The sequence below is a fragment of the Homo sapiens genome, chromosome 5 (genome assembly GCF_000001405.40).
Source record: "Homo sapiens chromosome 5, GRCh38.p14 Primary Assembly".
In the NCBI taxonomy this organism is placed as follows: domain Eukaryota; kingdom Metazoa; phylum Chordata; class Mammalia; order Primates; family Hominidae; genus Homo; species Homo sapiens.
In genome coordinates, this window is record NC_000005.10 from 111459334 (window position 1) to 111473152 (window position 13819).

General features: G+C 38.9%; 1 protein-coding gene across 7 annotated transcripts in view; it reads left to right on the plus strand.

Moving 5' to 3' along the window:
* Nucleotides 1-13819, plus strand: part of CAMK4 (calcium/calmodulin dependent protein kinase IV) — a 271304-nt gene that overhangs the window by 235751 nt on the left and 21734 nt on the right. The window lies entirely within an intron of this gene.

Below are 13819 nucleotides of genomic sequence, written 5' to 3' on the forward strand. Positions count from 1 at the left end.
CTAAAGCTGTCGGCAATAGTAAGGGCTATCTCCTTGGTTTGGGAGTGTTCACAAAAGCTGATTGACTCATCACTCAGGATCCAAGGCTATCAGCAAGGAAAGAGAAGGAAGACTCCTGTTAAGTTTTATATCACCCATTAGGTACATAGTGTGTGGTAATAAATAATATCACCAAAAACTGCCTATATACTCTATACATGTAAACTAAGTTGAGGATTTTGGCAACCACTTACTTAAATCAAAGTTAACCAAATATATTTTGGATTGAGATGGTTGATAAAATCGAATCTCAAGAGATTGTCCCCAGTGTCCTCTCCTGACTTCTCATGTTCTCTTTGAGTTTAGAGACAGTCTTTTTTTTTTTTTTTTTTTTTTTTTTGAGACGGAGCCTCGCTGTGTCACCCAGGCTGGAGTGCAGTGGCTTGATCTCCGCTCACTGCATCACTGCAAGCTCCGCCTCTCGGGTTCACGCCATTCTCCTGCCTCAGCCTCCCAAGTAGCTGGGACTACAGGTGCCCGAGACAGTCTTTTAATGTAATGGTAATCCTTAACTTCTGGGTCTCCAGACCATAAATCATTTTTGATGCCCACTTCAGAAGACACTACTTCGAGAACAGAACCAACTGTGCCAGAGAATTCACAGTTCTGTGAGGATTCAACTCTATTATTATATATGTGGGGGTGGGATGATGGGAGGAAAAGAGGTCAAAAGGAAGAGGTGATTGATAGCAAGTGGGTAGAAGATTTGCTTAAAATGTCTTATTTTGGACCAGAACACCCACAAAATGTTCCACTTTAAAATGTTATTACAGAAAGGATATGCATAAAATAAAAATAAAAAGTTTTGCAAGAATTATTATTGATTATCATCAGTGAGAAGGTTTATATCTCCGTTAGAGAAAAACATAATGTTTTTCTTTTCTTTTCTTTTCTTTTTCTTTTTTTTTTTTTTGAGGCAGAGTCTCACTCATTCCCCCATGCTGGAGTGCAGTGGTGCAATCGATCTTGGCTCACTGCAACCTCCACCTCCCAGGTTCAAGCAATTCTCCTGCCTCAGCCTCCTGAGTAGCTGGGACCACAAGCGCACACTGCCACACCGGGCTAATTTTTTGTATTTTAGTAGAGACGGGGTTTCACCGTGTTGCCCAGGCTGGTCTTGAACTCCTGAGCTCAGACAATCCACCCACCTTGTAATATTTTTCACACTTAACACGAGACACTTTAAATTCTAAGTCCATTACTTTATCTTTGCACCTCCATCTACTGAAGATATTTTTATGTAATTTTAATATTAGGATGAGATAGGTTTATTTATTTTATCCTACTTCATCCCACGAAAATTGAAAGGTAGCTTTTCAACAGTTAATACCACTTTGCTGGCATCCATCACAACTCTGAAGTGACCTGGAGACTCAGTCTGATTCAGAGTTGGAGAAAATGGCAATGACTTCAAGATAGGAAGGCTCAATGGAATTTCACAGAAAAGCAAATTTCACAGGGCAATAAAAATAAGTTGTATTTTTTTTTCCTTTTTTGAAAGCACTAGGTATTCTCAAATATTTGATTTTCTCTTCAGGATATTATTTAAAAATAAAAAATAAGATGAGGGAAATAAACAGACTATTTTCACTCATTTATTAGATTTATACAAAGAGAAAATCATATAATTCTTGCGGTAAGGAAGACTTTTTTAACAGCTTAAATGAAAAACATGAAGTGGGAGTTGGATTGACTGATAATTGCAGTGCAAAAAATCAAGAGCCCTGGAGGAAGGAAAGAGTGAGTTAGAACATAAAGTATATCACTTGTGTTTCAAAACACCTAACTTTTTCTTTTCTCACTCCACTCAAGTCACAGAAAACTAAAATGACAAAAGCCCCAAATACGTTCTCAGTCCTTCTCAACCTTTCAGAGCATGGCACGCATAGAATTGAGAATATTCTGAGATTCACTGTAGTAAGCTGACAAGGCAGCTTCTAGCCAGAGGCAACCCCCTCTGGAAGTCTCAGGTGTGATTCAGTCTCATCTGCACCTTTGTCACTGCACTTAATCTCCTGAACTGGGGCATTATCTTTTTATCAAATCAAAAATTGCACCAAGTTTTAAACAGGTTGTGCTCCTTTCTTAGCAAATGTAGATGACAGCTAAACAAAGGACCGCACAAAGTACAGATGCTGAGAAAATCACCCAGTGTGGAGTCTGCCCAACTGTGGGCACTGCTGCCGCCCATAGGCAGCTGCCTCAAGTGCATTCTTCTCCTCTGGGTTCCTAGGCCAAGCTAGGAAAAGGATAGAGGCAGAGAATTTCCTAACACTGCTTTTCAGCCTCCCTAGATAAATCCCCTCCACCCTTCACTCTTCTCCCTCCTCCCTCCTCCTTCCCAGAGGCACAGTTTAGAGAGACTCTAGATGCTGGGCTCAAGATACAGTGGATTTTTGTGGCTCGCAGAAAACACTGAATTCAAAACAAGCCTCTATAGTAAAAAAAAAAAAAAAAAAAAAAATCCCAGCATTTGCCCCTAGCTCTAATAGGGACAATAATTCTGGAAAGTCAGGTTCAGGCTTTTAGATGCAAATAGATCTTTTCCCATATGTTTTGAATTGCTAAAACAGAAAGAGTGGAAAGAATTTTGAAACAAACAAGACCCCTGACCTACTGGATCTTCAGTCTGGCCTCTACCTGCCTCACAGGCACTGCTCATCCCACCTAGGCATGGCTGGATACTTGAGCCATGCTCCAGCCATGTTGGCTTCTTTCAGTTCCTCCAGTGCCCCTTGCTTCTTCCTGCCACAGGGTCTTTGCATAACTTTTTCCACTTGCAAGTCTATTCTCTTTTCCTTCAACCTCTTCCCCATTTGCCTAATTAACTTCTCTAGATCCTCTACATCTCAGTTCAAACTTTCTTTGCACCAGTCACATTCGCTGACCTCTGTGACCAGGCCAACCCCGTACTAAAAATATTCTTCCTCCAAGCATTTCCAGTTATCACTTTGCATTTCTTCCTTTGATGTTTTTGATTTATGTCTACATCCCCCACCCAGCTGTAAGCTCCTAGATGAAAAAGACTTGTTCTCTTTAACCTGCTCATTATTCCCCTAGCACCTCCAAGTATAGTTGGCCCATCACACAGCAGGTGCTTAATAAATATTTGATGATTTCTTTAATGAGTGAGTGAATGAACCTGTTGATTTCATTCACCTTAGTCTCCCTCAAATTTTTTCCAAAAGAGTTACTAATAGTGTGAAAGCTCTTCTGATGAAGAATGCCACTCTGTAGTTTTAACTCAGTAAGTAAGAAAGAATCATAAAACTCAACTAGGGCATTGACAAAATGAAAGTACAGTCAATGACCAAAATCGTCCCTTTTAATTTTTCTTCTAGGAATTTAAGAAAAGAAGGCAAATTTAGCACCAGTGGTCCCTGTAAGTGAGCCCTAGGCCATATCTGATGCTTTTTATTTTAGGATCATTTCCAAAACTAGTTACAATGATTTTATTTGATAAAGTGAAATTCATCCCAATCTCTAGAGGGATACTCAGTCTCTAAATGTTTCAATGGTGCCATCATCTTATTTTTAAAAAGAGTCACACTTAGACCTAGATGGTATGTTAATGAATATATAATATAAGGTTTGAATTTTTGTGTAATTTTTATATTTAGTTAAACTTTCTGTTTTAAAAAGGAAGTCTGGCATCTTGAGAATTCTAAGACCGTTTACCAAACTTATTCTGCATTGAAGATTGGAGTATGAGGTTTTGTGGGAGCTTGGTATCATTTAGTGTTTTATGAGCAATAACATGAATGGTAAGATAATTTTAGGAAGTGGTAGACAGATTGGATTCACTTGGAACACAGCCAGAAAAATCAATAAATGATTATTTACTAATTCAGAAAAGATGATGATTCTAAGTCTTTTAAAATGCATTTTTAAAAACTGTTTTACAAATCAGCAAGAAAAAAAAGGGCGCAAAGGGCATGAATAGACAATGCTCAAAAGAAGATATACAAATGGGAGAGAATCCACAGACCCTGTGTATAGGAAGCAGATTGTTCCTGCAGGCCCCAGGAGACAACCTAAAAACTCTGAAGACAAAGGACATAACCTCTTGGGAGCTCTAGGCTCTACCTACCACCTGATCCTCCCTGTACTACCACAGCTGATGCTCTCTTGAAAGTGCCACCTCCTGGCAGGAGGCCAACCAACACAAAACACTGCAATAAACAAATCTACAACTAAGGACCCTCACAGAGTCCATTTCACTTTCCTGCCACCTCCACTGGAGCAGGTGCTGCTATACATGGCTGAGAGACCTGAAGATGGTTTACACCACAAGACTCTGTGTAGACACCCCCCACTACCAGCCCAGACCCCAGCAGCTCCACTGGGTGGCTAGATCCAGAAGATTAATAACAAGCACTGCAGTTTGCCTTTCGGGAAGCCACATCCCTAGAGGAAGGGGGAGAGCACAGCATCAAGGGAGTATAGTGTGGGACAAAAGAATCAGAATAGCAGCCTTTTAGCCCCACATCTTCCCTCTGACATAGTCCACCCAAATGAGAAGGAACCAGAAAAACAATTCTGGTAATATGACAAAAAAAGGTTCTTTCACACTCTCAAAAGATCCCCCTAGCTTACCGGCAATGGATCCAAACCAAAAAGAAATCCCTGAATTGGCAGAAAAAAAATTCAGCAGGTCGGTCATTAAGCTAATCAAGGAGACACCAGAGAAAGGTGAAGTCCAATTAAATGAAATAAAAAAAATGAGATATGAAGGGAAAAATCTTCAGGGAAATAGCATAAATAAAAAAACAATCACAACTTCTGGAAATGACGGACACATTTAGAGAAATGCAAAATGCACTGGAAAGTCTCAGCGATAGACCTGAACAAGCAGAAGAAAGAGCTTCAGAGCTCGAAGACAAAGTTTTTGGATTAACCCAATTCAGTAAAGACGAAAAAAAGAATTTAAAAAAATGAAAAAAGCCTCCAAGAGGTTTGGGGTTATGTTAAATGAACAAACCTAAAAATAATGGATGTTTCTAAGGAAGAAGAAAAATCTAAAAATGTGGAAAACATATTTGTGGGAATAGTTGAGGAAAACTTCCCTGGCCTTGCTAGAGATCTAGACATACAAGTACAGGAAGCTCAAAGAATACCTGGGAAATTTATTGCATAAAGATCAACACCCAGGCACAGAGTCATAAGGTTATCTAAAGTCAAGACAGAGGAAATAATCTTAAGAGCCATGTATTCTATGGAAGTGGGCATCGAAAATGATTTATAGTCTAGGGACCCAGAAGTTAAGGATTACCGTTACATTAAAAGACTGTATCTAAACTCAAAGAGAACACGAGAAGTCAAGAGAGGACAGTGGGGACAATCTCTTGAGATTTGATTTTATCAGCCATCTCAAGCCAAAATATATTTGGTTAACTTTGATTTAAGTAAGTGGTTGCCATAATCCTCAACTTAGTTTACATGTATAGAATACATAGACAGTTTTCTGGTGATATTATTTAATACCACACACTATGTATCTAATGGGTGATATAAAAAACTTAACAGGAGTCTTCCTTCTCTTTCTTTGCTGATAGCCTTGGATCCTGAGTGATGAGTCAATCGGCTTTGTGAACACTCCCAAACCAAGGAGACAGCCCCTACTATTGCTGACAGCTTTAGTTGTTAGAATATTGTCCCGTATATTGAGCCAGACATCTGTGCCTTGCAACATCCATTCACAATTCCTAATTCTGCCCTGTGGAGTTTCCTCTACTGTTTGAATTTCTGTAAATAATAAATCTTCCTTTTCTTCTCTCTGGCCTACTAATGATGGTGTTGCCTAAGGATCACTCCGGGTTGCACTTAAGGCAGTGCTAGGAGGCAAATTCATAGCCTTAAATCCCTACATCAAAAAGTCTGAAAGAGCACAAATAGACAATCTAAGGTCAAACCCCAAGGAACTAGAGAAACAAGAACAAACCCAACTCAACCCAAGCAGAAGAAAAGAAATAACTAAGATAAGAGCAGAGCTAAATGAAATGGAAACAAACCAAAAAAATTACAAAAAATAAATGAAACTAAAAGCTGGTTCTTTAAAATAATAATTAAAAAAGATAACCATTAGCAAGATAGACCAAGAAAAGAAGAGAGAAGATCCAAATAAGCTCAATTGGAAACACAACAGGAGATACTACAACCAATACCACAGAAATGCAAAAGATCATTCAGGGCTACTATGAACACCTTTATGTGCATGAACTAGGAAACCTAGAGGAGATGCATAAATTCCTGGAAATATACCACCCTCTTAGATTAAACCAGGAAGAAATAGAAACTCTGAACAGACCAATAAGAAGCAGCAAGATTGAAATGGTAATTTTAGAAATTGCCAACAAAAAAGTCCAAGACCAGATGGATTCACAGCTGAATTCTATCAAACATTCAAAGAAGAATTGGGACCAATCCTATTGACACTATTCCAAAAGATAAAGAGGGAATCCTCCCTAAATCATTCTATGAAGCCAGTATCACCCTAATATCAAAACCAGGAAAGGACATAACCAAAAAGAAAACTATAGATCAATATTCCTGATGAATATAGAAGAAAACATCCTTAACAAAATACCAGCTAACCTAATTCAACAGCATATCAAAAAGATAATCCACCATGATCAAGTGGGTTTCATACCAGGGATGCAGGGATGGTTTAACATATGCAAGTCAATAAATGTGATACACCACATAAACAGAATTAAAAACAAAAATCACATGATCATCTCAATAGACTCAGGAAAAGCATCTGACAAAATCCAGCAATGCTTTATGATTAAAACCATCAGCAAAATCAGCATAGAAGGGTCGTACCTTTACATAATAAGACTCATCTATGACAAACCCAAAGCTAACATAATACCGAATGGGGAAAAGTTGAAAGCATTCCCCCTGAGAACTGGAGCAGGACAAAGATGCCCACTGTCACAACTTCTATTCATCATAGTACTGGAAGTCCTAGCCAGAGCAATCAGACAAGAGAAAGAAATAAAAGGTATCCAAATCGGTAATGAGGAAGTCAAACTGTCAGTTTGCTGGTGATATCATTGCATACCTACAAAACCCTAAAGACTCCTGCAAAAAGCTCCTAGATCTGATAAATGAATTCAGCAAAATTTCAGGATACAAAATTAATGTACACAAATCAGTAGCTCTGCGATACACCAACAGCAAACAAGATGAGAATCAAATAAAGAACCCAACCCCTTTTACAATAGCAGCAAAAAATTAAAATACTTAGGAACAAACCTAGCCAAGGACATGAAAGACCTCTCTACAAGGAATTCTATAAAACACTGCTGAAGGAAATTATAGATGACACAAATGGGACATGTCCCATGCTCATGGATGAGTAGAATCAATATTGTGAAAATGACCACATTGTCAAAGCAATCTACAAATTCAATACAATTCCCATCAAAATACCACCATCATTTATCACAGAGTTAGAAAAAAACTATTCTAAAATTCATATGGAACCACAAAAGAGCCTGCATAGCCAAAGCAAGACTAAGCAAAAAGAACAAATCTGGAGGCATCACATTATCTGACTTTATACTGTAAGGCCTTAGTCACCAAAACAACATGGTACTGGTATAAAAATAGGCACATAGCTCGATGGAACAGAATAGAGAACCCAGAAATAAATTGAAATACTTGCAGTCACTGATCTTTGACAAAGCAAACAAAAACAAAGCGGGGAAAGGATACCCTATTCGACAAATGGTGATGGGATAATTGGCAAGCCACATGTATATGAATGAAACTGGATCCTCATCCCTCACCTTATACAAAAATCAACTCAAGATGGAAGAAGGACTTAAATCTAAGACCTAACACCATAAAAATTATAGAAGATAAATCAGAAAAACCATCCTGTAAATTAGCTTAGGCAAAGACTTCATGACCAAGAACCCAAAAGCAAATGCAACTTTGTTTTTACAAAGATAAATAGATGGACTTAATTAAACTAAAAAGCTTCTGCATAGCAAAAAAAAAAAAAAAAAAAAAAAAGCAGAGTAAACAGACAACCCACAGAGTGGGAGAAAATCTTCACAATCTATACATCTGACAAAAGACTAATATCCAGAATCTACAAGGAACTCATACAGATCAGCAAGAGGAAAACAAACAATCCCATCAAAAAGTGGACTAAGGACATGAATGGACAATTCTCAAAAGAAGATATACAAATGGCTAACAAACATATGAAAAAAATGCCTAACATCACTAATGATCAGGGAATTGCAAATCAACACCGCAATGCAATGCCACCTTACTCCTGCAAGAATGGCTATAATCAAAAAATCAAAAAATAATACATGTTGGTGTGGATGTGGTGAAAGGGGAACACTTTTACACTGTTGATGGGAATGTAAACTAGTACAACCACTATGGAAAACAGTGTGGAGATTCCTTAAATAACTAAAAGTAGAACTACCGTTTGATCCAGCAATCCCACTACTGGATATCTACTCAGAGGAAAAGAAGTCATGTGAAAAAGAAACTTGCCCAAATGGCTATCAATCAGTGAGTTCGTAAAGAAATTGTCACACACACACACACACACACACACACACACACACACCATGGAATACTACTCAGCCATAAAAAGGAGTGAAATAATGACATTTGCAGCAACCTGGATGGAGTTAGAGACCATTATTGTAAGTGAAGTAACTCAGGAATGGAAAACCAAACATCATATGTTCTCCCTCATAAGTGGGAGATAAGCATTTGAATGCAAAGGCATACAAATGATACAAATGGACTTTGGAGACTCAGGGGAAAGGGTGGGAGTGGGGTGAGGGATAAAAAACTACACATTGGGTACAGTGTACAATGCTCAGGTGATGGGTACACCAAAATCTCAGAAATCCCCACTAAAGAAATTTTCAATGTGACCAAACACCTCCTATTTTCCCAAAACTACTGGAATAAAAATAAAAATATCAAGAAAACTGTTTTATACCTTAAAGTGATTTTCTTCTATTTTGTTTGTTTTGATAATGAGGTGAGAAAAGATATGAAGGACAGCCAGAGTGCTTATACCATTAAAAGATACATTAATTGATGTTTTTTCTTGAACTAAATTGAAAGTAGCCAACTTTCTTGCCCTAAGAAGATCACAAATTATTAGAATTACCTGCAAGGACATTTGATACTTAGGAGACTTGAAGCTGGGGTGCTAGAGCCTGAACTTTATTGTAAAAATTCTTCTGGCTCTTGGAAAAGGCCTGTCTAGATTGCTAGAGTGTGTTCTACTGGTTCTGAACAAAGTCAATGCCATATTAACTAGTAATTTAAAATATTAAGCTGGGTACTGTGGCTCATGCCTGTAATTCCAGCACTTTGGGAGGCCGAGGCGGGTGGATCACAACGTCAGGAGTTCGAGCCCAGCCTGACCAACATGGTGAAACCCCATCTCTATTAAAAATACAAAAATTAGCTGGGTGTGGTGGCACCTGCCTGTAATCACAGCTACTCAGGAGGCAGAGGCAAGAGAATCGCTTGAACCCAGGAGGCAGAGGTTGCAGTGAGCTGAGATCGTGCCGCTGTACTCCAGCCTGGGTGACAGAGCGAGATTCTGTCCCAACAACAACAACAAAAATTAGCTGGGCATGGTGGCAAGCACCTGTAATCCCAGCTACTCAGGAGGCTGAGGCACGAGAAGCGCTTGAACCCAGGAGGCGGAGGTTGCAGTGAGCAGAGATCGTGCCATTGGGCTCTAGTCTGGGCAACAAGAGTGAAACTCCATCTCAAAAAAAAAAAAAAAAAAAAAAAAAAAAATATATATATATATATATATATATATATATATATTTGAAAGTTATTGAAAATAATATCTAATTGTGTCTAGGTGTTTTGACTTTGTTTCACCCCATTTTTTTATGATTTTCAAAATAAGTTATTTTAAAAACAATTATTTTTAAGATGAATTTATTATGGATGGCATAAACATTTTTTATTCCTTTTGTCTGTTAACTTCACTGTGGGACATTTAACTTTTTACATGGCAAGTTTACTCACATTGCAGTACAGTGCTTCACAAAGAAATAAATTGCCTTTGGAGAGTAAGGTTACACCCAGTGCTGCGACAGATCAGAACTTGCCATGTCAGGTATGAAACTCAGACTCCCTGTATAGTGGATCCAAAAAGCAGTTTGTGACACACTATTCATTTTCCTTAGAGTTCTTTGGCTGGGAGCTATTAGCAGTGCCTAGAGAAAACATCTGACCCTTGCCAGTATGTGTCTCTGGCCTGCACGGGGTGGGAGGGTTGATTTCACTAGAGCCAACAGGATGAGTCCCCATAGGGCAGCATACACAGTAGCTGTTGTAGCAGAAGAAATGAGAAATGCAACAGGTCTGCAGGTTAGAATGCTTGTTCTTGTCCTCTCTTCTTGTTGAATGATCAGTAACACATCCTTTACTAATAATATAATGGGTAGCAGGTTAAAACTCAAAGTTAACTTGGAAATCAGCTATTTGGATTCATTTACAGTTTAGAGGTAAAAAACCAAGATCCAGAAAATATAAAAGACTCTCTCAACATATTTCTATATTTATGTTTAAATGTCAGTATGGGGCTTGATAGCATTTCAGACTGAATAAGATTCACTGATGTGAAGACCTGCATGGAGAAGGACTAATGCAAGTGGAATATGCATGCTCAATATGTGTGCATTCGGCTCCTTGACTGGAACATCTCCTAGAGACAAAAATAGGCAATAGCAGCCTTCCTGCAATGGCAGCATAATCTGAGTTCCCCTTTACAAGGGAAAGTTCACTGTCAGGGCTGTTGTGCTCAAAGACACTTTCTGTGGGGTACAGATTGCCCCAGAGAATGAAAGCTAACCTGACAGAGTGAATGATGGTAGTTCGTATCAGCCATGCATGTTTCTTAATTTTGTTAATTAAACCTTAAAAGAAAAGTTTTCTAGGAATAATTCATCTGTAGATTAAAAAAAGCTTTTTGGCTACAGATACAGTTCCTTAAAGGGTGCATCTTGCTGAATTGCTGTGTAGAGTGCTAGAATGCACACCTTCCTTTCACCATACAGGTTCTTTATCTCATATAGGGAGCACTTCAAAAAGTTTGTCAAAAAATGGTGAAAATGATGAAAAATATAAACTTTATATCTCAACATAAACTGCATCAAGGTCAAGAGACTTTTGTAAGTGATAACAGCAGCCATTTAGTCTATCCCTAGAGAACTGAGGGATAACCATGTCAATGCAGTCTTTTTTACATTATTAACTGAAAAAACAATAAGTGTTCCTTATAGAAATTTTAAGATAAAGAAACAAAAAGAAGTCAGAAGGAACCAAGTTACTACTGTAAGGTAGATGCCTAATGATTTCCTATTGAAAGTCTCATCAAATTGTCCTTGTTTGATAAGAGGAATGAGCATGAGCATTTTTGTGGTGGAGAAGGATTCTCTGGTGAAGGTTTCCTGGGAATTTTTCTGCTACAGCTTTGGCTAACTCTCTCAAAACAGTCTCATATGAAACACGTTATTTTTCTTTGGCCCTCCAGAAAGTCAACAGGCAAAATGCCTTGAGCATCCAAAAAAACCATTGCCATGACACTTGCTCTTTACCAATCTGCTTTTGCTTAGCCTGGACCACTTCCACCTCTTGGTAGCCATTGCTTTGATTGTGCCTTGTCTTCAGAATTATACTGTTGAAGCCATGTTTTATCTCCTGTAACAATTGTTTGAAGAATCAGGCTCAGGATTTCAATCCCACTTGTTTAAAATTTCCATTGAAAGCTCTATTTTTGTCTGCATCGATCTGGATGCAACAGTGTTGTCACCCATCGAGTGAAAACTTTGCTCAACTTTTAATTTTTCAGTCAGAATTGTGTCAGCAGAACTCACAGATGTCTGTGATGTTGACTATTGTTTCTGCTCTTGCCAGTCCTCTTCAATTAGGCCATGAGCAAGATTTATTTTTTTCTCAAAAATTGATGTGGATGATCTGCCACTGTGGGCTTTGTCTTCAACATTGTCTTATCCCTTCTTAAAATGAGTTATCCACTTGTATACTGTTAATTTCTTTAGAACATTGTCCCCACAAACTTTTTATAAAGCCTCAGTGATTTCGCCATTCTTCCACCCAAGCTTTACCATAAATTTGATGTTTGTTCTTGCTTCAATTTTAGCAGAATTCATGTTTCTCAGATAGAGGCTCTTTTCAAACTGAAGTCTTAGCCTTTTTAGTGTCTCAGACTAGATCCTGTTTGGACATGTTATGACAAGTTAGTACAAGTTTATTTTGGTACAAAAAATTGTGAAATTCATGCATAATTTTTTATAATATGCATTTACCATGACCTTTTGAAGACTCCTCATATTTTATGTAACCCAGCTTCTACAGGGAAATTGGAACATGATGAGAGTTAAGGGATAGTTAGGGAAGAGGTCAGTGGAATGCCCACAGTATTCCTTCCTGTATGGTAAATCCACAGTCCCATGAGGATAGCCTCCCTCCAGAGCTCACTTATTTATTTATTTATTTATTTATTTTTTGAGACAGAGTCTTGTTCTGTTGCCCAGGTTGGAGTGCAGCGGCGCCATCTCTGCAACCTCCACCTCCTGGGTTCAAGCTATTCTCCTGCCTCAGCCTCCCGAGTAGCTGGGATTACAGGCACCTACCACCATGCCTGGCTAATTTTTTTGTATTTTTAGTAGAGACAGGGTTTCACCATGTTGGCCAGGCTGGACTCAAACTCCTGACCTCAGGTGATCCACCTGCCTCGATCTCCCAAAGTGCTAGGATTACAGGTGTGAGCCACTGTGCCCAGCCCCAGAGCTCATCTTGATAGGCAACACTGAATGTGACATTTCCAGCCAGCATGGACAGAGAATCCTGTTTACTTGCATTCCAACCCCTATCCCAGAGAATGGTATGGTGTCCTCATCCCCAAGGCCTTCCTCAAGCAGCCATCAGCATTAATCAAGAAGCTCCTTCTTCAAGTACGCTGCTGGCACCTGCCGCACTTGTGTTCAAAATCAAGAAAGGCCACTCTGGACAATAGGCCTGAGCTCTATTTCTCCATAGATGGTGGGGCTCTTACTTTCCCTTTTCTTCTGTTGTTAATTAGGCAAACAAATAACACCCTTAGTACTCAGGGAAAGTGCCTGGATCCAGTTAATTACCCATTTTCACAAATCTAAGGTAATAAAAATATAAAAGATACTGCTATTCTCCACACCAGGGCTATTTTATGGCTGAGAAAGCCTTCCTTTTTCACAACAGCGGGCAGAACTAATACAAGCTGCTTCACTGTGCACAGATAAGTTCCCCTTTCTCAGTTCATGACCTCAAGCTGATTGGGATCAGCTGCTCTCTGGAGACCTACATGCATCTCTCAATGCCAGGACATGTGCCAGGACACCTCCTAGCTCCTGCTGCAACCGTCTAGACTAGATACTTGTCAACCCTCCTCACCACCTACACTGGTTCCCACCCTGCACACTGTCAGACCCACACACTCGCTGACACACCCTGCTCCCAGCAGGTCTAGATCTCAAGGCAGCATGCTTGTGACTTTTTTCTCCCTTGTTATGCTTAACTTTCATTTCTTTGTTTTCTATGTACAAAACTCCCTTTGAAGTATTGCGTCTTTTGTAGCATACATACAGCTCTATCTACTTGATTTGAGCAGTATCATGATATTCTGACATAGAATATTAAAGTTAATAGTGTTATTTTATGCATCCCAAAACAGATAGACTATAATCTCTCCTACTAAAATAGACAT